Source organism: Homo sapiens, chromosome 20, assembly GCF_000001405.40.
Source record: "Homo sapiens chromosome 20, GRCh38.p14 Primary Assembly".
Classification (NCBI taxonomy): domain Eukaryota; kingdom Metazoa; phylum Chordata; class Mammalia; order Primates; family Hominidae; genus Homo; species Homo sapiens.
The window spans coordinates 31,789,090-31,815,090 of NC_000020.11; the positions used below are offsets into that span (position 1 = coordinate 31,789,090).

At 42.9% G+C, this 26,001-nt stretch overlaps 1 protein-coding gene and 1 pseudogene across 6 annotated transcripts in view; one reads left to right on the forward strand and one right to left on the reverse strand.

Annotated features, from left to right (window-relative positions):
- The window catches only part of TPX2 (TPX2 microtubule nucleation factor), a 62,511-nt gene extending 49,800 nt beyond the window's left edge, over positions 1 to 12,711 (forward strand). For 3 of the 6 annotated variants that reach the window (NM_012112.5, XM_011528699.3, XM_011528697.3), the window contains 6 exons: positions 3,646 to 3,741; positions 4,759 to 4,935; positions 5,313 to 5,459; positions 8,315 to 8,426; positions 9,276 to 9,463; positions 11,881 to 12,711. In NM_012112.5, the coding sequence (NP_036244.2) occupies positions 3,646 to 3,741; positions 4,759 to 4,935; positions 5,313 to 5,459; positions 8,315 to 8,426; positions 9,276 to 9,463; positions 11,881 to 11,991 (831 nt within the window). In that variant the 3' untranslated portion in view covers positions 11,992 to 12,711. The remainder of the gene's footprint in view (positions 1 to 3,645; positions 3,742 to 4,758; positions 4,936 to 5,312; positions 5,460 to 8,314; positions 8,427 to 9,275; positions 9,464 to 11,880) is intronic. The other 3 variants (XM_011528700.4, XM_047440018.1, XM_047440017.1) reach the window with 1 other exon arrangement.
- ATP5MFP7 (ATP synthase membrane subunit f pseudogene 7) lies at positions 19,414 to 19,660 on the reverse strand (annotated as a pseudogene).

Consider the following 26,001-nt stretch of genomic DNA (forward strand, 5'->3'; position numbering starts at 1 on the left):
CTTTAGAGATACCTTCCCCTTCATTGAGGGAGCATCCCTCTAATAACCATTAGCTCCATATTCTGCTGGGTTTCTTTAGAGCACTTGTGAAAATTTGGAAGTATTTAATTTGTTAAATCTTCATTGTCTCTTTCCTCCATTAGAATGTGAGCTCCCTGAGAACAGGGACCGTGTGTATCTATATTATTCACTCTGTATCCCTAGCCCCTAGCATAGTGACCACCACAGCACAAGCACTCTGATATCGGATAACTGAGTGAGTAATAGTAGAAGCTGACATGCACCTAGACACTAGGAATTCAAAGATGGTATAAGACACGGCCCTTGTCCTCAAAGCTTTCATAGTCTGGTAGAGCATATAGATGTGTAAATGAGTAAATATGGTAATATTAACCAACATATGTTCATTGAACAGTTACTACGGGGTCTTCTAGTAGGTGATATGGGAAGACAAAAGAATGCAAATGACAATATTCCAGTCCTCAAGGAGCTTATAATTTAAAAAACTTAAAATAGCAAAAACAAAAAAAAACAAAAAAAAACTTTCTTTGTTTCTGTAAACCCAATTTTCTTTTCATTATTTCTAATCGAGCCCCTAGTTAACTTTGATGGAAGGGGGGCTGGGGTGTGAGTGGATAGTTGCTGCAAAGATGATTTTCATAAATCATCTTTTCCTCTCCCCCAACTAATTAAGAGATTGAGCTCACTCATACATATCTCCTTCATGGCCTACTTATTAGAGGTTTCCCTTGCTTCTCTTTTAAAATGCAGACATTTCTGTTGGGTGAATGCAGAGAGAGGGAATTATTTCAGAACTAAATGAATCCTCAATTACTTATTTCAATTACTTTATTTTATTAAAAAACCCCAAGGCCTAGAAGGATATCTGATGTGTTTAAGGTTATACAGATTGGAAGCAGAGCTGGGCTGGAACAGACAGACCCGTGGCTTCTTGCTCACTATTTGTCTCTCTTCCACTTGCCCCTGGTGCATTCAAGCAAGATGCTAGTGTCCACATGTCTATAGAAGAGCAGATTTTGTTGTTGTTGCTGTTTTATGGTAAACATCATTTGACAACCCATTTCTTGGAGTTTTGTCACTCTGAATACAAGATCTGCTATATTGGATTTCACTATGCTAATGATTCTAGCATTCTTTAGAAAACATATAAGAAATTTCACAGCAGAATGAGCATTCTCAGTGGTCACCTTGAGAGACTGTAAATCCCTTCCAATGATTGTGATACTGCAAAAAGCATTTTGGAAAAGCCATGCATCTTGAATCCTGAGATGAGCCTTTGGGATCCCTCCCAGGATGACAAATCTTCACGTGTATTTTAAACATTAATTTGCTTTTAGGATCTAGTCTAAGGTTATTTGGAACTAAAACTTCTGAGTAGTCCAAGATAATAGAGGTGTAAACTATTTGTTAAATGAATAGTAAAGATTGAGCAACTGTCTTGCATGGTCCAGAAAGTGCCTTTGAAAGCCACTCCAAGAAAGACATTCCAAACATGTTTCGAACGGTTGCAGCATTGTTGGGATTAAGGAGAAGGCTCCCAAGGTATCCTCCTAGAGTCCAAGGTATAAATTCTGTTACTCATGTGTTCATTCATTCTTACTGCATTCATTCAACAAACATTTACTGAGTGCTTTATACTTGCCAAGGTCTATGTTAGGTACTTGGGTCTGATGGAGTAAAATAGTCTCCATCCTCGAAGCACTCAGGCTAGCAGGGGGAAATGAACATCTAAATAAATAAGTGCAATTAAGTTTTGTATGGACTGTGATAAAACCATATACAATGGGATAAAGGGGTCAGTTCTGTAGGTCCTGGGAGTGGAGAGATCTATTGAAAGGCTTTATAAAAGAGGAAAGGCTTTATAAAAGTGGAGGCTTGAAAAGATGAATTGGGTGCTTTCAAGCAGCCGGGGCATTTCAGACAGAGAAAGCACAAGCAAAGGTAATGAGATAGGAACCATTTGGGGAGCGATCAGTAGTTCGTTGTGGTTGCAACGTGATATGTAAGGAGGGGTGAGAGGTAAGGCGGGAGAGTCAGGAGGGTACCAGATTAATGCTACTACTAAGGAGGCCATGAAGGCGATATTTATGAGTGAGATTCAAGCAAGTGCCTTGTGTTTCACGAAAAGGAATTTGTTATGCTGTTGTAGGTAAGCAATAGGAGCCATTAAAGAATTAATTTTTTTTTCTTTGAGACGGAGTCTTGCTCTGTCGCCCAGGCTGGAGTGCAGTGGTGCGATCTTGGCTCACTGCAAGCTCCGCCTCCTGGGTTCACGCCAGTCTCCTGCCTCAGCCTCCCGAGTAGCTGGGACTACAGGCACCCGCCACCATGCCCGGCTAATTTTTTTGTATTTTTAGTAGAGACGGGGTTTCACCGTGTTAGCCAGGATAGTCTCGATCTCCTGACCTCGTGATCCACCCACCTCTGCCTCCCAAAGTGCTGGGATTACAGACATGAGCCACTGCACCTGGCCTAAAGAATTTTAAGTCAGGAAGTAATGTGATCAAATGTGTTTTAGAGTAATAATGTGGACTACATGCAGACAATGAATTGGAGGAATGAGTTGTGGAGCTGAAAGACTGTTAGGAGACTAGCAGAATGGCACAGGCAATAGCTGAAGTAGGTCTGGCAATGAAACTTTAGGGAAGAGCAGAATAGAGAGCTGATGGGGGCAGGATGTGGACACGAGTGTAACAAGAAATTACTGAGGTTTTGTTTTGTTCTTAATCGATCTGGCCGTACACTTCATTCAAAACAGCAGCCAAGAGATACCATTTTGCAGTTAGGATTAATTGCCAGATTTGTGATAGAATATAAACTCTGTGTGAATCAAAAAATGCTGTGGAACAACTCTCTAAAATGTGTTAGTTTTAAATTATGTGCACAATATGATACATGTCATTTATTCCACAACGATTTGAAATGTTAGCAGTGTTTTAAAATCATTAAGGAAAAATCTTCAGGGTAGTTGAATGTGTTGGAATTATGAGATATAAGGCTGGGTACAGTGGTTCACGTCCGTAATCCTCACACTTTGGGAGGCCAAGGCAGGAGATTGCTTGAGGCCAGGAATTTGAGACCCATCTCTACAAAAAATGATTAGCTGGGCAAAGTGGTGCGCGCTTGTAGTCCCAGCTACTCAGGAGGCTGAGGTGGGAGGATCACTTGAGCCCAGGAGGCAGAGGTTACAGTGAGCCGAGATTGCCCCATTGCACTCCAGCCTGGGCAACAGGGTGAGACTCTGTCTCAAAACAAACAAACAAATAAAAGGATTATGAGATGTAGAAAATTAAATTTCTCTCTTAATTCACCCTCAAAGAGATATGAGAGTTGACAATTTGGTGTTCTTTCCCTTTTATGTTCTTTTATTTTCTGTGCTTAGATTAATTATATTTTAAAAACTCAAAAATATCATTCTAGGCCATGTGCAGTGGCTCACACCTGTAATCCCAGCACTTTGCGAGGCCAAGGCAGGAAGATTGCCTGAGCCCAGGAGTTTGAGACCAGCTGGGCAACATAGTGAGACCCTGTCTCTACCCAAAGGGGAAAAAAGGATTTAATCTTCTCATACAGCTTAGTGGAGATCATTTTGTGATATCTAATTGAGTTGCTTACTCCTTTCAGGGTGTTCCTGAAAAGAAGGTACTTCCAATCACCGTCCCCAAGTCACCAGCCTTTGCATTGAAGAACAGAATTCGAATGCCCACCAAAGAAGATGAGGTGATTCCCTGGGAGTAGGGGGGTTCTTTTTCCTTCTATATAGTCAGTCAATCTAAGCCTTATCATTTATTAATCTTAATGGAGTTCAAAGGCAACCACTCTTTTTTGGACTTGTCTTTAAGAATGGGTATGAACATTTGTTCATTTTTTTTGTTCCTCCAAGAACAAAGTAATTGGTAAGGGTATGAATTTTCTGCTCTTAGTGATAACTAGTTACAATTTATGGAAACAGTAAGGAGCAGTTAAGCATTGGAGGCTTGTCTGCTGTAGCATTGAAAATCAGCTGCTCTTTGTAACATGGATCAAAAGTTGCACTTTATTTTGCCTTAGATTGTCACTATTCAGTGATGGACTTTGAAAATTCATACTAAGCAATTACATCCACCTTGTCCTATCTCCGTTAACCCAGAGGAGTTGCAAAGGTGACTGTGGTGATCGTTTATGGAATTGTAATATATAAACTGTCATTGGTCAGGCCAGTTTCTTGTTACATCTCCCATTTTATCTATAAATATCCAGAGTTAGGGTAATTTTATAGCAGATTGCAAGCATAAGCCTTTTTATAGGTTCATTTGAAACTAAAATACGCAGTAATCTTGTGTTACCAGCTTGAACCCAAACAACTTGGGTTTGGCAATCCTATTCTGGGTTTGGCAACCATTAAGTCCCAGTCACATGTTTTAATGAAGTCTAGAGGCTGGGTCAAAGAAGAGACTAAGGTATATGCTTGGTTGGGACCGATCTTCTGATGTTCATTTTATTCATAATGTTAGATCTTATTTAGTTTTTACAACATTCCTGTGGAAAACTAGATCTTTTAAGAGTAATTGTGTTAGCCCTTGGTGGTAGATGACTTACCTAAGTCATCATCCTTCTTGGATAGAAAAGGAAGCTAAGACTTCCTTTAATTTTGTTTTAATTAATGCCACATATTAATATAATGTCTTCTGACTCCACATTCTGGGGAAGTTGGAGAGAGTGAGGAGTCTTATTTCTAAACTGCAATTTTTTCCCTAGGAAGAGGACGAACCGGTAGTGATAAAAGCTCAACCTGTGCCACATTATGGGGTGCCTTTTAAGCCCCAAATCCCAGAGGCAAGAACTGTGGAAATATGCCCTTTCTCGTTTGATTCTCGAGACAAAGAACGTCAGTTACAGAAGGAGAAGAAAATAAAAGAACTGCAGAAAGGGGAGGTAGGTGTTTCCATTTCTGCAAGTAGTGTAATACTATTCTTTGATCCCTCAAAGACAGTTTTTTCTGTAGCACTTTTAACTATAAAATCACTGACTTCTTTTGATCTTTCTAAGAACCCTATAAAATATAAATGGGACAAGTAATTTAAATAATCCTTCTGGCACAAGGAGGTTAAGTGACTTGCCTCTGATCACACTGCTGGTTATAGGCAATATTAGGAGGAAAGCCTAGATTTCCTTTTGAACCCATTATTCATTCTTTCATGCTGCTTTGAAAGGTTTCCTTCCTTATTTTTCAGATTCTTCCAGATATTCTGGAGCAGCTATTGCTTTCCAGCTAGTCTTTATCTTAAACCTCATGTTTTCTTTTCTGTTAGGTGCCCAAGTTCAAGGCACTTCCCTTGCCTCATTTTGACACCATTAACCTGCCAGAGAAGAAGGTAAAGAATGTGACCCAGATTGAACCTTTCTGCTTGGAGACTGACAGAAGAGGTGCTCTGAAGGCACAGACTTGGAAGCACCAGGTAGGGGATGGGGAGAGCAGCCAAAATGTTAATTGCTTGGTTGGTTGATTGTACAGGCAGACCCACCATACTGAAATCACCTGGGTTAACATGCTACATTGTTTCAGGGGCTCTCACTGTAAATCAGGGGTCAGCACATTATTTCTGTAAAGGGCCAGATAAGAAATATTTTAGGTTTTGTAGGTTACATATGGTCTCTGTCGCATAGTGTGTGTGTGTGTGTGTGTGTGTGTGTGTGTGTGTATGTGTGTGTGTACGCACACATTTTGTTGTTGTTGTTGTTGTTTTTTGAGACAGAGCCTTGCTGTGTTGCCCAGGCTGGAGTGCAGTGGCACAATCTCGGCTCACTGCAAGCTCCGCCTCCTGGGTTCACGCCAGTCTCCTGCCTCAGCCTCCTGAGTAGCTGGGACTACAGACGCCCACCACCAAGCCTGGCTAATTTTTTTATATTTTTAGTAGGGATGGGGTTTCACCGTGTTAGCCAGGATGGTCTCAATTTCCTGACCTCGTGATCTGTCCGCCTCGGCTTCCCGAAGTGCTGGGATTACAGGTGTGAGCCACCACACCCAGCTACATGTTTTCAACTCTTTTTTTGTTTGGTTTGAGACAGAGTGTCGCTCTGTCACCCAGGCTGGAGTGCAGTAGTGCGATCTCGGCTCACTGCAACCTCCGTCTCCCAGGTTCAAGTGATTCTCCCACCTCAGCCTCCCGAGTAGCTGGGATTACAGGCGCGTGCCACCACGCCCAGCTAATTTTTGTGTTTTTAGTAGAGACAAGGTTTTGCCATGTTGGCCAGGCTGGTCTCAAACTCCTGATCTCAAGTGATCTGCCCACCGTGGCCTCCCAAAGTGCTGGGATTACAAGCATGAGCTGCTGTGCCCAATCAACTCTTTAAAAATGTAAAAACCATTCTTAGCTCAAGCGCTGTCCTAAAACAGGTTGCAAGCTGGATTTGGCCTGTAGGCCAGAGTTTGCTGACCCCTGCTCTAAGTGATCACCTGGGAATGTCCCCTGCTCCAAGTGATCACCCGGGGAATGTGGGAACCGACAGGCTTTTCTGGAGTTGGGAGTTTCTTTAAGATCTTATCTATTCCATCTATTAGACTCATTCATTGTGTTTATTCCTTTCTGTTGATGCATTGGTAAGAAACAGTATGGGAGAATAGATTGAAATATACAATGCTGTTTTCTCAGCATGATGTGCTATTTGCTCTTTATAAATGACAGGTGATTTAAAACAATTAATTGGTTATTTGCTGATTTAATTGGGATCTAATTCTACGTGGCTGGAAAAAATTTCCCCTGAATTTCTAAGTTTTTTGGATTTTTATGTCATCATTAATCTTGGATTCTTTCCAAAAGGAGCTCTAGGCTATTGTTTGTTTGTAGGAATTACCCCTCCTGAAGCCCGAGAGTTGTAATGGCTTACATGACTGAACGTTGGTCCCCTGTTAGTGTGGTTCTCTAAGAAACCTTAGGACTGTTGCCTTGGAAATAGTGAATTTTCCCCTCTCAATGACCAAGACACAGAATGTCTGTGTAGGGCATTTTCTGCAAAGAACAACAACAAAAACAATTGTTTTAAAAAGCTTTTCAGAAATATAAAAGTAGGGTGAATAGTATAATGAATTTTCATGAACCCATCACCTGGTTCTATAGTGATCAAAACATGAAAAGTCTTGTTTCATCCCAACTTCTACCCACTTATCTTACACTGGATACTTCTACCTGTGTAAGATTACTTTGAAACAAATTCTATGTAACATCCCTTTTCATCCAAAAATACTTCAGTGTATATATTTAAAATATAAAGACTTATAACCACAATAATATTCTCACACTTAAAAAGATTAAAAATAATCAAATATCTGCACATTTCTCATAATTTTTTAAACAGTTGAATTGTTAAAATCAATATCCATATATAGTCTACATAGTGCCTTTGTTTGCTAAATCTCCGAATCTTCTTTCAATCTATAGGCTCCTCTCTTTGCATTTTATTTGTTGAATAAACTGGATTGTTTGTACTGTAGATTTTCCACAATCTGGATTTTGCTGATTGCGTTCCCACACAGTTGTCTAACATGTTCCTCTGTTGCTTGTATTTCCTATAAATGAGTAGTAAGATCTGGAGGCTTGATTCAATTCTGGTTAGATTTTTTTTTTTTTTTGGAGGTGGGAAGAATACTTTATAGGTGATACTGTATAGTTCCTAATGAATCATGTGTGAAGGCAGAAAATGTCTAGTTGTTTATTTTTATGATATAAAGATAGGTCTTAAAAGTACCTTTAAAATTTTTTGTTTTTTTTAATTGACAAATAATAGTTGTACATATTCTTGGGGTACATAGTGATGTTTCAATATGTATAATGTGTAATGATCTGATCAGGGTAATTAGCATATCCATAATCTCAAACATTTATCATTTCTTTGTGTTTGGAATCTTTTTTTTTTTAATTTAAAAGTAAACTTTAGCACACCAACATGGCACATGTATACATATGTAACAAACCTGCACATTGTGCACATGTACCCTAAAACTTAAAGTATAATAATAAGAAAAATAAATGTGAACATAAACTAAAAAGAAAAAAAAAAGTAAACTTTAATGTCGAAAATGCAAACTTGGGAATCTTAAAAGTATCTTAAAAATGCTTTCTAGTTCTCAGTGAGTTCAAATGTTGTCAGACTGATCTGTTCATTGTAAAGTTTGTGTGAAAGATTTTTACTAGGGTTTATATTAAATCTGCTATTTTTATTGATGAAGCAGTTCAGACATTAGAACTTAAGTTATTGAGGTAGTGGTCATAGAAAGGTGAGACATTGCTCATCTGACTGACTTTCTCTCTAATAGCTGGAAGAAGAACTGAGACAGCAGAAAGAAGCAGCTTGTTTCAAGGCTCGTCCAAACACCGTCATCTCTCAGGAGCCCTTTGTTCCCAAGAAAGAGAAGAAATCAGTTGCTGGTAGTATTATATGTACTCTGATGGGACTCGGGCAGAATTGTCAGACTTCCCAGTGGGATGCTGGAATTCAGTGTGTCAGTACAATGCTGTGTCAACTAGAAGCATTTGACTTTAGCAGATGGTAGCTTTTCTTCCCCTAGACCCAGTTTTTTGCCTTTATTGAACCCAGCAGCTATGTTGAGTTGCAGGATGTGTTAGGGCCAGATTCATTTAACATGAACCTTGGCAGAAGCAGCTGGCATTTCAACAACAATGATAGGTTTTCCCCATCCACAGAGAAACAAGTAAATGAGGGAGGGAGAGCCAGTATGGCTTTCTGGAATTCACCCTGAAGCAAACTTTAGATATAAAACATTTGATTCCTTAAACACTGGGCAGTGTGCTAGAATACTGGGATTCCACCGGGTGTGGTGGCTCATGCCTGTAGTCCCAGCACTTTGGGAGGCCCGGACAGGAGGATCACTTGAGCCCAGGGATTTGAGACCAGCATGGGCAACATAGCAAGACCCCATCTCTTTTTCAAAAAAATCTTTCCAAAAAGGGAAAAAAAGAATATTGGGATCTTTCTTCTATGTCTGCCTCAAAATCAATCACTATATAGTTTTGTGCAAGCTACTTTATGTCTTTGCCTTTTTCCCAATTACACCAGACGATTTCCAGGGGCCCTTTGAACTCTTAAAATTCTAAAACTTTTTGTATTTAGTTGGCTCTACCTTTCTCCCAATGGGGCTTGTTTAGAGCACAGTCTTCCTGTTAGTGTGCATGTCTGTGCCACTTGCTCATTCCAGGGGGCGTAGGTTTATGCAAGTCCTGCTTGTGCACCAATATTTTTTCTGTTTCTGTACTTAGAGGGCCTTTCTGGTTCTCTAGTTCAGGAACCTTTTCAGCTGGCTACTGAGAAGAGAGCCAAAGAGCGGCAGGAGCTGGAGAAGAGAATGGCTGAGGTAGAAGCCCAGAAAGCCCAGCAGTTGGAGGAGGCCAGACTACAGGAGGAAGAGCAGAAAAAAGAGGAGCTGGCCAGGCTACGGAGAGAACTGGTAACTGGGAGCATGAGCACTGACGAACACAAACATGCCTCTGTTTTATTTTACCTGTACCTTACCTTGTACCAGACAGGATCTAAGGTAGCCCGCAAGGCTGTACCAAAGACAATGAGTGAAAGGGGGAATTGCACAAACTGAGGGTGGTGATGAAGTTGAGTTGTGAATGAAGCTAACGATGTGTACATTGTGATCTAAGTAGGAGCTGTAATTTTGGCCCTTTTTAGGAACCAACCTGTCAGTTACAAAACTCGCAGTGTTCATGAGACATAAGACAGTTGTTCAAAAAATACATTTATCCCTTTGATAGTGAATTTTTAGACAGAATTTCTTCCGGAAGTTTTCATAAGGAGGACAACATGTGGTATAACCATGATGCCTTTCCTAGGACTGTTTTTTATTTATTTGTTTATTTTATTTATGTAACTTATTATTTCCTCTGGGGTTAAGAAGCACCACTGAGTTTTGTAATTAGACAAGAATACATAGCGAAGGACATGGGAATTAAATGGCAACTGTATTTTTGTTTTAATACTGAGCCCAAACTCCTTGGAGTTACAGTGTTCGTCGCTCCAGGTAATCCTCTACTAACATAATTATTTAGATGTTGGTTATCCAAAAAGAAACCTGAACTCCACATTAAGGACCAATCTGCTAGGAGGGCAGCAAGTTGTGTTAACTGTGTTAATGAAGAAGCAGACAGTTTTAGATGGAACTTCGTATGATAAATAAAAAAAGAAAGGGTCATGGGGAGATGTTGGTAAAAGGTTACTTAGTTACAGTTAGATGGGAGGAGTAAATTTCAAGAGATCTATCATATAACAAGGTGACTGTAGTTAATGATATATTGTATTCTTGAAAACTGTAAAGAAAGTGGATGTTATGTGCTCACACTACAATAAGTGGATGTTATGTGCTCACACTACAATGTTAATTAGCATCTTGCTAATTAACAAATGCATTATCTCACATAGTAACCATTCCATAATGTATGTCTACTTTAAAACATCAGCGGTACACAATAAAAATATACAGTGTTATCTGTCAATTAAAAAGAAAGAAGGCCAGGAATGGTGGCTCACACCTGTAATCCCAGCACTATGGGAGGCCCAGGTGGGTGGATCACTTGAGGTCAGGAGTTGGAGACCAGCCTGGCCAAAATGGCGAAACTCTGTCTCTACTAAAAATACAAAAATTAGCCGGGCATGGTGGCACGCACCTGTAATCCCAGCTACTCGGGAGGCTGAGGCAGGAGAATTGCTTGAACCTGGGAGGCCCAGGTTGCAGTGAGCCGATTGTGCCACTGCAGTCCAGCCTGGGGGTGACAGAGCGAGACTGTCTCAAAAAAAAAAAAAAAAAAAAAAAAGAAGTGTAAGTTGTTGAGGTTTTGTCTAAAAGTGCTATACTACAGCTGGATGTGGCAGCTCACACCTGTAATCCTCACACTTTGGGAGGCCAAGGTGGGAGGATTGCGTGAGCCCAGGAGTTCAAGAAAAGCGTGGGCAACATAGCAAAGTCCCATCTCTATTTTAAATAAATAAATAAAATGCTAGACTAGCAGTTGAAACAGCTATTGGCAGCTATTGGCATAGGTGATTATGCCCATAGGAAGGTTCCACGGACACACTATTTAGGAGACCAGCCTCTTGGTAAAATCTAGACTACCATTTGCTGAGTGAATGAGAAAATAGTATAATCCCCACTCTATATACACTCATACAATCAGCCTTTTTTCCCGGCCTCAACTTTGATTTTTCTTTAGCATTTGGTACCTGCCTCTTGTGTTTGTCCCCATTATAGAACTGCTTCTTGCAGCAATTCTCAACATAACTGATGGCAACATTGTAAAGCACAATTCAGTCAATGCTGGTTAACTCTCTACTAATCTGGCTTGATTTAGGATTGATTTTAGACTACCCTAAAGGATGGATGGGACCATGCCTTCTTTAGCCACCCTTCCTGGTATGGTTGTTGTGTTTTGTTTTTGCTTTTTCCCCAGGATTCAGGCTTTTGGTGAATATTTATAGTCAGTAAACTTAAGACTGTACTCTGGGAAATTCTTAGCTTGTAACTTCTCTGCTATACTTGAGTACAGCCCTATTATACCCTAGTAAATCACACAGGACATAGGTTTGGCATTCTTTAGTGAAAGCTGAGGGACTTGAGGAGACTGTGGCCTAAAGGAAAGCTGGGGGACCCAATAGAGACCTGAATAGAAACCCTTTTGGGCTCCAAAGCACATACACTTTTCCATCATACCGTGTTGCCCCCCAGGCCCCACTCCCCACACCTGAAACTAGTGACTGGGACCTGTAAAACTCTACAAACATTTTCTCAAAAAGAAAAAAATAAAAGCAATTATAAGCGTAGTTCTCTGACATCCCTCTCACTGGTAACTTTTCCTTACTTTGCAGGTGCATAAGGCAAATCCAATACGCAAGTACCAGGGTCTGGAGATAAAGTCAAGTGACCAGCCTCTGACTGTGCCTGTATCTCCCAAATTCTCCACTCGATTCCACTGCTAAACTCAGCTGTGAGCTGCGGATACCGCCCGGCAATGGGACCTGCTCTTAACCTCAAACCTAGGACCGTCTTGCTTTGTCATTGGGCATGGAGAGAACCCATTTCTCCAGACTTTTACCTACCCGTGCCTGAGAAAGCATACTTGACAACTGTGGACTCCAGTTTTGTTGAGAATTGTTTTCTTACATTACTAAGGCTAATAATGAGATGTAACTCATGAATGTCTCGATTAGACTCCATGTAGTTACTTCCTTTAAACCATCAGCCGGCCTTTTATATGGGTCTTCACTCTGACTAGAATTTAGTCTCTGTGTCAGCACAGTGTAATCTCTATTGCTATTGCCCCTTACGACTCTCACCCTCTCCCCACTTTTTTTAAAAATTTTAACCAGAAAATAAAGATAGTTAAATCCTAAGATAGAGATTAAGTCATGGTTTAAATGAGGAACAATCAGTAAATCAGATTCTGTCCTCTTCTCTGCATACCGTGAATTTATAGTTAAGGATCCCTTTGCTGTGAGGGTAGAAAACCTCACCAACTGCACCAGTGAGGAAGAAGACTGCGTGGATTCATGGGGAGCCTCACAGCAGCCACGCAGCAGGCTCTGGGTGGGGCTGCCGTTAAGGCACGTTCTTTCCTTACTGGTGCTGATAACAACAGGGAACCGTGCAGTGTGCATTTTAAGACCTGGCCTGGAATAAATACGTTTTGTCTTTCCCTCCCTGATTGTGTTATTTGATGTTTTTAAATCTGTTAAGCCCCTTTGGAGGTCACATCTTATTGGGAAATGGGTAGTTTGAGAGGTGGGTCCAGGAACTTTTTTTTTTTGAGATGGAGTCTCGCTCTGTCGCCCAGGCTGGAGTGCAGTGGTGCGATCTCTTCTCACTGTAAGCTCTGCCTCCTGGGTTCACGCCATTCTCCTGCCTCAGCCTCCCGAGTAGCTGGGATTACAGGCGCCCGCCATCATTCCCGGCTAATTATTTTTTTTGTATTTTAAGTAGAGACAGGGTTTCACCGTGTTAGCCAGGATGGTCTCGATCTCCTGACCTTGTGATCCACCCGCCTCGGCCTCCCAAAGTGCTGGGATTACAGGCGTGAGCCACCATGCCCGGCCCAGGACAGTACTTTGTAATTTTTTTCTGTCTTATGTCAGAATATCTCCATATTCTGTTAACTCTCTCTCAGTAACCACTTAATCATGTATGTTATGCCTTCACACAGACTGTACCTTCTTCCCTAAAGACTCAGCTCAAGTTAAATTTTTTTTTTGAGATGGAGTCTCGCTCTGTCACCTAGGCTGGAGAGCAGTGGCACAATCTCTGCTCACTGCAGCCTCCCGCCTCCTGGGTTCAAACGATTCTGCCTCAGCCTCCCAAGTAGCTGGGATTACAGGTGTGTGCCACCATGCCTGGCTAATTTTTCTATTTTTAGTAGAGATGGGGTTTCACCATGTTAGCCAGGCTGATCTCCAACTCCTGACCTCAAGTGATCCACCCACCTTGGCCTCCCAAAGTGCTGGGATTACAGGTGTTAGCCACCGCGCCCGGCCTAAGTTAAATCTTTTTTAGAAATCTTTCCTTGACCTCTGACCTCCTCAGTAAAGATGGTCACTTCCTTCTTTGTGACTCCCAAATGTTTCTCTTTTTTTGAGACGGAGTTTCACTCTGTCGCCCAGGCTGGAGTGCAGTGGCGTGATCTTGGCTCACTGCAAGCTCCGCCACTCAGGTTCACGCCATTCTCCTGCCTCAGCCTCCCGAGTAGCTGGGACTACAGGTGCCCGTGACCACACCCAGCTAATTTTTTGTGTTTTTAGTAGAGATGGGGTTTCACTGTGTTAGCCAGGATGGTCTCGATCTCCTGACTTCGTGATCCGTCCGCCTCGGCCTCCTAAAGTGCTGGGATTACAGGCATGAGCCACCGCGCCTGGCTGTGACTCGTAAATGTTTCTTGTATACATCTCGAGTAGAGCAGTTATACTATATCTGAGTTACTTGAACTTGTTCACAAATTAATAGAGATACAGATATGTAAGTTCCTTGAAGACAAGAATTGCCATAGCCATCTCTTGTTTATTGTGGCTGGCACAGAATTGGCTTAGGTCCATGTTAAACAATATATTTTCTTTTAGAATTCACATCATTTTTGAGTATCAACTCTATCATTCATTGCGTGTGCTAGGAGATACAAAAGCATCTGGATTCTGCCCAGGCTAGTCCTAGGTACCATATATGACCTGAAACTTATTTTATATTCATTTTTTTATTCAGTGAGCATATATGAATCTCTTATGTACAAGTCATTGTAGTCCCAGCATTAATTGACAAAGCAAGATGGTGTTTCTCACAGTATGATTTGCAGATCCTGGTCCTCCTGAACCCCCATAAACTGATGCGTGAAGAGTGGAGAATGAAGGGGTGTCCTGGAACCAATTCTCCACGGATACTGAGGGATGACTGTGTATACCTTAGCACTGTTCTAGTCTCTGGGAATACGTCAATGAACAAAAAAAAAGACCTTGCCTTCATGGAGCTAACATTTTAGTAGGAGAGAGAGACAGTAAGCAAATAATTTAAGCTCTTGTGTAAGGTGACAGACGTGCTGACTGCTATGTGAATAGATGGGTTGGGAGTCGGGGGCATGTGAAATTGTAATTGGGAAGGCGAGGAGGTTCTCGGCTGTTGTGCAGGTGAGAGCTGACAGTGACTTGGGTTAGGGTGGTAGCAGTGGCAGAGAGGAGAAGTGGTTGGGTTCTGAATGTGTTTTAAAGTTGTAACTAACAAGACTTCCTAACAGATTGGATTTGGAGAGTGAAAGAAAGGTGGGCACCTTTCTTTCTTATAGAGGGCACCCAGGTGTCAGCCCCAAACAGAGACAGGGTCCATCCCTTGTACTGTGAGAAATCCAGTTCTACCCTAGTCCTTTTATTTCTTGTGGGTTCACAGCAGCATTCATTTTTTTTCTGATTTCCTCTTGTTTTTTTCCACTTCTGCTTATCTCTTGATCTCTGTGTCTGTTCTTTGTAGATTTTCTCTCTACTGGTATCAGCATTTCTCCTCTATCACTATCATTCATGTATTTCCATCTGGAATCATTTTTTCATATACCTTGTCTGGTTTTGTTCGTTGTTGTTTCAGGCAGGGGAATAAATCCGGCCCTCAGATTGAGGGTTTTGGGAGTGTTACTGAGAATTATGGATGTGAGGGATCCTTCTGCCCCATTTGCTCCATTCTGGATAATCCCCTGTGCAAACTCATGTCAGTGGTAATAAGTGACAGTCTGTTAGAGGCCACAAAGAGGAGTTACATTACTTTAGAGAAAGTAGCTTAACACTGAGATGTCAACATTCAGTGCCTCTTGCTTCCCAAAATTTCTCAGTTTCCCAGGGGCAATCTTTTCCTCCACCACATGGTCTCTTGCCTAGTACTGAGCCCTCTTTTTCTGGACCACCGCACATCACCTTCATTTTTCTAGCACACTCTCCCATTTTTCCCAGAAACTCAAACTTTCTGCTTGCATTTTACAGAAAAATTATTTTATTCATCCCTTCAGGCCATGTGCTAATAGGAGCATCATCTTTCCACACTCAGGTCACTCAGGAATTTTCCTAAATAAAGAACATATCCTGAGATAAGAATTTACTGAATTTTAAGAATTTAGCTGCTACTTTTTGCTCGCCTTTTTTTTTTTTTTTTTTTGGGAGATCTCGCTCTGTCACCCAGGCTGGACTGCAGTGGCACTGTCTTGGCTCACTGCAACCTCTGCCTCCAAGCGATTCTCCTGCCTCAGCCTCCTGAGTAGCTGGGATTACAGGCACATGCCACCACACCAAGCTAATTTTTGTATTTTTAGTAGAGACGGGATTTCGCCATTTTGTCCAGGCTGGTCTCGAGCTCCTGACCTCAAGGGATCTGCCCACCTCAGCCTCCCAAAGTGCTGGGATTACAAGTGTGAGCCACCATGCCTGGCCTTTGCTTGGCTATTTTGCAAAGCTCCTAGCACATACACACATGCAGATTGTCAGAATTCCTGGGAATTCTGGGAAATCTGGGAAGCATGCTGCTTTGTTTTCAGTGCATTTTTAACTTGGCCATGATTTCCTATTGCTGATATTTTTTTTTTTTTGAAACGGGGTTTTGCTGTTGTCACCCAGGCTGGAGTGCAGTGGCGTGTTGTCAGCTCACTGCAACCTCTGCCTTGCAGGTTCAAGCAATTCTGCCTCAGCCTCCCGAGTAGCTGGGATTACAGGCATGCACCTGGCTAATTTTGTATTTTTAGTAGAGAGGGGGTTTCTCCATGTTGGTCAGGCTGGTCTTGAACTCCCGATCTCAGGTGATCTGCCTGACTCGGCCTCCCAAAGTGCTGGGATTACAGGCGTGAGCCACAACGCCCAGCGATATTCTTGTACTAATTAATATATGTATAAGATTACTGCTCACTCTTAGCTTTGGTTGATTGTTTTGTCCTGTGTAATTGCTTGGTTACCATTTTGATTGTTTTATTCCTTACCAGGTCTTTTTTCTAGAGTCTTGTCCCTGGGAAGTGGAGCCAGCATGGTAGACAGAACAAAGTTGCAGTTGCTCCAGCATTTAACAGAGATGAGACCTGGACACGAATAATCGTAACACAAGATGGGATGTGATTCAGTAATGTGAGACAGAGTGCTGTGGGAGTTTAGGGATTGTTTTTGAAAGTGAGGTTGCAGTTTGTAAAGGTTTTTTTTTTTTTTTTTAAAGTAAAATTTGCAAAAGTAGTACTGCCTTTTGGAAACAAGTAAAATGCTACTAACTGTATGAAATAAAACACGAAAGTCTCCTTCCTTCCCCTACTCCCACGTCCCAGTGTAACCCATGGTTCGCAATAGGATTCTTCCAGAATGTTTTCTCTGAGCACACACATAGAGCATTTTTTTTAAAAGAAATAAGATAGTAGTAGCATTATGCATTTTTAAAAATTTTAATTTGTTCTTTAAAAGGTTATACATTCACATAGTTCTGAATTGAAAAGATACAAACGTAGAGTCTTCCTCCTGCCTTTTCTTCCCAACTGCTCAGCTCCCCTCCCCAGAGATAGTGCTGCCAGTTTCTTAAGTTCCCTTGCAGAGACTGTTTCTTCCTATACATACTCCTACCTACCCTCCTTCTCTTATTTTTTTACACAAATAGCATCATACTTTACACTCTGTACCTTGGTTTTTTCATACATGTTGTGCATTTTAAAGATGTAGTTCAGGTGCCACCTCAGGCATGTCCTGGCTTCCTTCCTGACAAGTATGAAGCCTCTTATGACAATCTAGTGACATGGAGGCAGACCTGCATGATGTCCTGGGTTTGTGACCTGAGGTCCCAAGGACTAGAGGGCAAGGTAGCAGCACCTGGTCCTCATCTCCTCCTGGCTTAATTGAGCTTTGGGGGCTTGCGTATTGTCTTGAGTGTTTGGTTGAACCTGTATATCCTGTTGGATCAATCTTGATATTGCTTCCTTTTCATTTCTCTCGATGAAGGCCGTCTTACTGAATCTTGTCTGCTGGGGAAGTTCCTCATTGCTGAGAGCAGCAGTTAAAAAAGCTGTTAGCCACGTGGCTGGGCTCCTATTTCTGCAGAGGCAGGCTGAGTTACAGCTTGGTGGTGTGGATCCAGGTAGGAATTGGTCAACATTCTGAATCCTGAGCTGCCATCTGCCTCGTAGCCTGCTGGGATGCTCAGTTTAGACAACATATAAAGTTTCCTGGATACGGGACAAACCCAGGCCTATGGAAAGAGCAGGAAGGTTAAAGTGTGTGGTACTTTGGGCAATGACGAAGGCGTAACCAGGGAGCTGACATGTTTGCTCCAAAGCCAAGAATTCCAGGACAATTTGTTATCCAGCTGAAGCCAGTGTAGTTGCTACAAAAAAGCCTGGGGACAAAAGCATGCTTTTTACTTGTTTCCCTGTCTTCTTGCACACCTACTCTATTTTCTAAAGCTGTAGTAAAGGTTGCTGACATTGGAAATGTTTGATGATTTTTGCTATTCTCCTCGTAAATGAATAAGAGTCTGGGCTCAGGCCAAACCATGGCTCTATGTGCTGAAAGTATCAGCTTCCTGAAACAGCTTCACAAATGCTGACATTTCACTCAGACCAGGAGGGTCAGGGGAAAGGCCTAAGCAAGTACTAGGTTTTATCATGAAAGAATGATTTCAACAGACTAAACCTGGTCTGATGGCATCAAATGCCCTTCCCCCACCTTTTTTTTTTTTTTTTTTTAAAGCATTATTGGTCAGAGAGGAAATAGAAACTTGGGCTGTCAGATCTGAAGAGACCCACATAGCATGGGACTGGTGTCCCAGAACATTGCAGGTGTGTGAATGCATGAAGAGTTGCATCCAAGTGCTATTGCCCAGCTTGTTTGGGCACTGATGGTCTCAGGTCTTCTTTCAGGAGCAAGGGTGGGAGACATTTCCAGTGGGTCAAGATACTAGTCAGTGGTCATAACTTGTAATGTGAAAAGCAGTCTGGGGCAGCCTTATTTAAGCTTGCTTAGTGGTGAAGAGAGAGGAGAAGGCTGTAGCCTTGCACTGACGCACCTCTATCACCATACTCAGGGACACTCTGTGACACAGATGAGTGGGGTTTTTTTTTTTCTTTTGTAAAACTTTGGTTTTATACATAGTAGAGCTTTTCTCTCTCTCTCTCTCTATATATATATATATGTGTGTGTGTGTGTGTGTGTGTATGTATATATATATATGTATATGTATATATATAGTATTCTTTTCTTTTTCTTTCTTTTTTGAGACGGAGTTTCCCTCTGTTGCCCAGGCTGGAGTGCAGTGGCATGATCTCAGCTCACTGCAACCTCCGCCTTCCGGGTTCAAACAATTCTCCTGCCTCAGCCTCCTGAGTAGCTGAGATTACAGGCACGCACCACCACGCCTGGCTAATTTTTGTGTTTTTAGTGCAGATGAGGTTTTACCATGTTGGTCAGGCTGGTCTTGAACTCCTGACATCGTGATCCACCCGCCTCGGCCTCCCAAAGTGCTGGGATTACAGGCGTGAGCCACAGCACCCAGCTGGTATTATTTTTCATTTAGCATAATAGTAACTCATTTTTCCTGTATTATTGCATACTTTGTAAATACCAATTTTAACAGCAGGATGCTATTCCATTGTTCTGAGTTTGCTTCTCCACATTGAAAGTGCTTATTTTACAAAGGATTTTTCTTAGCTCTATTTGCAGGACAGAATTGTCTGCATTTGCTTCCCCCTAACACATCATGTTTGTCTCTAAACTTTATTATTATTATTGTTTACTAGTCATCTTTTATTTGGAGGTTTATTTTCATTTGGATAAAAAGATTCAGCAATGATCACATTCCTCATGGAGGGATTCTGGGCCAAGGAGGTTATGGTCAAGAGTGCGGAGTGTGCTCTCCACACTGGCCCCTCTTCGGTGGTTCTTATGTTTGAGCTCCTTATAAGAAAGGCAGTGGCCAAAAGGCACGTAAGCTGCCAGCACCATGGAAACCCTGGTGACACTCCCTTTTTTCATGTTGTCATGCTTGTTGTATTTAATAGTATCTGTGGTAACCTCTTTGAAACGCTTCAACAATGCCTTTGGTGGTAAAATCAGTATCCAGCTTGGCAGCTCTACTAATATGACATCCATGAATGAGTTTCTTCTTCATTGGTATGACTGATGCCATTGTGGAGTCCTGGTGTCTGCTGTCTCTAAACTTTAAATGGTGGTTCTCAAACCACTTACCAGTCTATGTTTGTAATTAAAATATAAGCTTGAAAGTGAATAGAAGCCCTTCCCAAAAGCATAGTTAATGACATTATCCTGGCTTGCACATTTGCTGAATGGAAAGCTCTTTTTGGCTGATATGATGTCAACATTACTAACACCCATGTCCAGAGACAACGTTCATTGGCATTTAACAAAGCCTTTCTGGAGATAATTCTAGTTATGTTCTTTAAAGTCTTGGGATGCCACATTTTCAAGTAGATTTGTTGTCTCTACTTTAGATCAGATTTGAAAGGAGAAAGCTCTTAGTCTTTCTTAACTCTACCAGGAGGTTGGGTGCGGTGGCTCACGCCTGTAATCCCAGCACTTTGGGAGGCCGAGGCAGGTGGATCACAAAGTCAGGAGTTTGAGACCAGCCTGACCAACATTGTGAAACCCTGTCTATACTAAAAATACAAAAATTAGCCAAGCGTGGTGACAGGCGCCTGTAATCCCAGCTACTCAGGAGGCTGCGGCAGGAGAATCGCTTGAACCTGGGAGGCGGAGGTTGCAGTGAGCCAAGATCATGCCACTGCACTCCAGCCTGGGCGACAGAGCAAGACTCCATCTAGAAAAACAAAACAAAGCAAAACAAAACAAAACAAAGACTCTACCTGGGGCTGTGATGTGTCTTTTGGGAAGAAGGGTGGGATTATAATCTCACTCCGGTTAGAGAAATGATGGGTAACCTTTAACAAGTTATTCCTCTTTTGGGGGCTTCAATTTCCACATCCGTCAAATAAGATTGAGCTGGAACAATTAATAAGGCTCCTTTCAGCTTAAATATTTTTAGATTTTTTTCTAGGCAGTTTTTTAAGCCAAACCAGCCCTACTTTTATATTTATATGTCTTCTATAGCCAGTTGTTCAATCCCTGCAAGAGAGCAAGCTCTCCTGTCCCTGGGTTTCCATGTGGACTTCAACGAAGTATGTTGGAGACCAGTGTTCTATCTTGTTGAGGACTTTCCAAGGGTTGTTCTGGAAACGGAAATCTAGCCCAGATCACTCCAGGGGACTAATCCCTGAATAATTCTGTCCCCTTGACACGCACACATATTTTCTGATGTTTTTCTTGACCTTGGAACTGGTTAAAGACTGCATAGAATGTTCAGTGAATTCTTGCAGACTGCCACAAAGAAGTCCTTCCCATCCAAGATATGATTTCCCCCCCAAGATTGAGATTATTTTGGAAGTAATCCTTCTATTGTTGGAGGCAGTTTAAGGATGTCACCATAAAATGGACTTTACCTTGTTCTTTTTCTGTTTCTCTCCGTTGCGATTCAGTTTTTACGTGTTCATGGACAAGGAGACCTGGGTTATTTTTGGATAACTGGCACAGGGTTCAAGAGAAATACAGAATTATTTCATGGAATAAACCCTAGATTGGGAACTGGGAGAGCTGCTCTCGCTTTGTGACTTTGAACATGTTGTTTATATTCTCTGGGTCTCAGTCTCCTCATAGAAGTTAGAATGATCTTGCTAGAAAGGACCCTTCCTCTAGCACAGTGGAGGGGAATTTCTCTCCCGCCTTACCATGCCCCAAAGGCACTGTGGGCAGCAATGGTGACTGTTACCCACCCAGCTAGCCAGTGTGACTCAGAGTGGCCGTGCTTGAGTCACATATTCAGTGTTGTCAGTGGCTGTGTCACCAAGGATTGCCAGAGGCCTTTGCTATTTTCCCACAGCTAACAACCTGACAGGATAGGGTCAGCAGCTTCTAGTTAACAGCTGGCCAAAAGAAGCAGGGAGACATCTCTGCAGGGGAGGAGGTTCATGGGAGTTTGTTCAAGCAAGAGAGGCTTTTTCTCTCTTGGTAGTTTGTTACTGCAGCAATAGAAAACGAATGGGGGAAGCAACACAGAGCACACAGTCACTCAGGAGCTGGGAGGGGTTGCCAGTGCGCCTCCCCTTCATGAAACCACTTCACTTTTTTTTTTTTTTGAGATAGAGTCTCGCTCTGTCGCCCAGGCTGGAGTGCAGTGGTGTCATCTCGGCTCACTGCACCCTCCATCTCTTGGGTTCAAGCAATTCTCCTGCCTCAGCTTCCCGGGTAGCTGGGATTACAGGTGCCTGCCACCAGGCCCGGCTAATTTTTTTTGTATTTTTAGTAGAGACAGGGTTTCACCATGTCGGCCAGGTTGGTCTCAAGCTCCCAAAGTGCTGGGATTACAGGCGTGAGCCACCGCGCCAGGCCAGAGCTTCACTTTTTGTGCATCTCTCTCTCCTTGGAACATTTGCTGTACTGATGACTGGGTCTCAGTGTTCTGTGTTTCCCCACATACACCACAACGCTACTCTTGTGAGCTACTCAGAGGCCTAAGCATCTTGGCCTGTGGGACTTTTATTCTCTAAGACAGTGGTCCTCAGAGTGTGGTCTGTGGCCCAGCAGCAACAGCATCATCAGGGACTAGAAATGCAAATTCTTTATTCCCACACTAGACCTACTGAGTCAGGCACGCTGAGGGTGGGGCCCAGCAACGTATATTTTAACAAGCACTCCAGGGGACAGTGATGCGTGCCTAAGTGTGAGGACCACTGTGCCAGGAGAGGGACCTGCAAATCCTGACAGACAACAGGTCTCCTAATGCAGGTACCCATGGGCCAAGGAGCCAGCAGCCACTCTCCTGTGACCTTAGTGCCCAGCCAGTCAAGAGCCTGTCTCAGGGTGAGAACATCTTCCTCCCTTCCACAGCCCCTTGAGGGGTCACCTTTGTACAGTCTGACTGAGTTAGACACGGGAGAGCTGCTGAGCTTGTTGAGTGGATGTTTTATCTCCTTAGCCAAGACTCCATTCCCAGAATGAAGACGGAGGGAAGAATGCTTTTCCATATGTTCTTCCAACAAGTCATATGACAGATGAGGAAACCGAGGCTCAGAGTTTAAGTTACTCATCCAAAGTCATGCTGCTAATAAATGGCAGAGTCAGAATTTGGACCCACGTCCATCTGCCCTCCAGTGTCCTTTCTACCGCAGCAACTTGCATCCCTTGACCAGAGCCAGCTCCAGGAGGATAGGGCCTGGCTTTTTCTGGATTTGAGCTGGAGCCCTCACTGAACTCTTGACCTTGCTGTGGGAACCTCCAGCTAAGCTTCTCAGACACTGGGAGGCAGGTCCTCTCCTTGCTTTCACCCTGTCAGCACAGCGGGCATCTCGGACCATGCTGGATCCCGTCAGGGATGTGGCAGCTGCCAGTCAGTTAAGTCACAAGCCTCAGCAGGCCTGAATGATAGCCAAGGTGGTCACCGTGCCAAGTGGATTGCAGCCAGGAGGTGCCTTGCCTAGCCCACCCCTCATCCTTTATTTGGAGGCCCCTCACCATCTCAGGCAGGGTCTTCTTCCCCCAGCAGCTGCTCAGAGCTTGCCATGCACCCCCTGGTTCTTATGGTAGCCCAGTTTAGCAAACGGACCTGAAGTTTTATAAATAGCGCAATGGCAGGCTGGGAAGCTGTCCTGTGTAAGAGGACAGAACATGCATTCTCTGCTCCTCGAGCCATTTCCTGGGATCGGGTGATGGGAGTGACTTCTAGTGCAGATAAAGTCGAATTACTCTTATCTTCTAGGTCTATACTCCACACTTGGTCTTGCTTCTACTGTTTGGTATGTCTGTGGTTTCCCCCTACTGCTTCTGCCTTTATGTGATGGTGCTTCCAAGTCTGCTCCCGGGACGTTTCCTGTTCTTGGAACAGCTGCACCAGCCTGGGGTACCCTCCTGCTACTTGATCCTATAGGGAGGTGTCCAGTGGCTGTGGGCAATTTTCAGATGACCTTGTTCGTCTGACGTCATTAGATCGCTATTTTTGGCTTTGCTGTTTATGCTGCAGAAGTTGGGCTGGAATGGGAGAGGAGGAATGAAGGAGGGGCTGCTCTTGGTTTCCCATTGTTCCAGGGTCCTACCAAGTAGGTGCATTTATTCTTCCACATTTACAGAGCACCTACTGAATGTCAGGCCCTAGGGCAACCAAACTGATTCTTCACTCACTTATGAATTTATTTTTCAATGGGCATTGCTTTGTGGTACGGAGTAGTAATTAAATGTGAGGGCTCTGGAGCAAGAGAGTTTGGATTTAAATTCCAGCCCGCCATTTACTACCTCTGAAACTCCTCTGTGCCTCAGTTTCCTTTTGGAAATGGGAGTGATTATAGTATCTACCTCATAAGGTTGCTCTGAAGATTAAAAGAGTTAATATCTCTGTCTGACACATTGTAAATACACAATGAACGTTAGTGGCTATTACTACTAACCACAACAGCACCACGTATTGTACTAGGTACTTGGGATATGAAATTGAATGTGATGTAGTCTGCATCTGTTTTGCACTGGCATCTGGACTCCAAGGGTCTCAGATATTGGGATGGGGTACCCAGTCAACACCGTCAGAAAGAATACCTGCTGTGTGTACTATTTTTCCTACCTTATGTTGGAGGGCATTCAAGGGAAACAGAAATTGAAGTTTCTGGCTGGGCGCAGTGGCTCACGCCTATAATCCTAGCACTTTGGGATTATAGGGAGGCCAAGGTGGGTGGATTGCTTGAGGTCAGGAGTTTGAGAGCAGCCTGGCCAAAATGGTGAAACCCTGTTTCTACTAAAAATGCAAAAAATTAGCTGAGCATGGTAGTGTACAACTGTAATCCCAGCTACTCAGGAGGCTGAGGCAGAAGAATCACTTGAACCCAGGAGGTGGAGGTTGCAGTGAGCAGAGATTGCACGACTGTACTCCAGCCTGGGTAAAAGAGCAAGACTCCGGCTCAAAAAAAAAAAAAAAAAAAGAAACATACAAAAAAGAAAATGAAGTTCCTGTCCTAGGAAAGCCTTAGATCAGTGGCTCTTCACCCTGCCACACATCAGAATCTTTTGGAGAGATTTTTAAAAATACCAACATTCTGGGCCCCACTCCAAATGTTCTTAATTGGTCTGAGCTGAGGAGGGGCTCAGACTTCAAGAGTTGTAGAAACTCTCCAGGTGTTTTCAGTGTGCATCAGGGTTGAGAAGTGTGGCCCTGGGTTATAGGGATATGAATCCTGGAAGCTCTCCACTGACTGCACCAGGGTGACTGTCAGGACAGTGCCTCAAATCTGTTCCCTCTTCCAAGGCTCTCAGGATGCTTTCTAGAGAGCTGGCTCTCTGACTTGGTGGTTCTTGAACTTGGATGTGCATGAAAAATCACCTGAAATGCTGGTTTATAGACATTTCTGGGGCCTCATTCCAAGGAAGCTCCATTTTATTTTTTATTTTATTTTTATTTTTGAGACTTAGTCTTGCTCTATTGCCCAGGCTGGAGTGCAGTGGCATAAGCTTGGCTCACTGCAACCTCTGCTTCCTGGGTTCAAGTGATTTTCATGCCTCAGCCTCCCGAGTAGCTGGGATTACAGGTGCTCACCACCATGCCCGGCTAATTTTTATATTTTTAGTAGAGATGGTGTTTCATCATGTTGGCCAGGCTGGGCTTGAACTCCTGATCTCAAGTGATCCGCCTGCCTTGTCCTCCGAAAGTGCTGAGATTACAGGCATGAGCCACTTCGCCCAGCCAGGAGGCTTCATTTTAAACCAACTCTGGGGCTTAGTTACTGAGAAAGCCTTGCAGTAGCTGAATTGCGAGTTCTCTGAGGCCCTGAGCCAAGAAGTCCTTTCATGGTGTTTTATAGCTCTTACCATTTTCTCTCTGAAGAAATCTGTGTCCACGTTGATATATTTGGAATTACTTATTGATCTGATTAAGAGTTACAAGTCATTTCCAAAAAAGTTGGAAAATCTAGATGAATAAAGAATAAAAATAATCTCTATTTCTACGCCTGTAAATATGTCCATTTATATCCCTCCAGCCATCTTCTTTGTAAATATTTTGAACAAAAAGGATCCCGCTCTATGGCTGATTTTTATTTAATTTATTTATTGAGACAGGGGCCCACCCTGTCACCCAGGCCATAGTGCAGTGACACAATCATGGCTCACTGCAGCCTCAACCTCCTGGTGTCAAGCAATCCTTCTACCTCAGCCTCCTGAGTAGCTTGGGACCACAGGTGTGCACTGCCACGCCTGGCGAATTTTTAAATTTTTTTGCAGAGATGGGGTCTCACCATGTTGCGCAGGCTGGTCGTGAACTCCTGGGCTCAAGTGATCCTCCAGCCTCGGCCTCTTAACATGCTAGGATTACAGGCATGGTTGATTTTTATAGTCTTTTTTCACCTAAAATGTAATATGCAGTGATTCTATAGCTCTCCCCCAATTTCATCTCTGTGTCCTGAAAGTGAC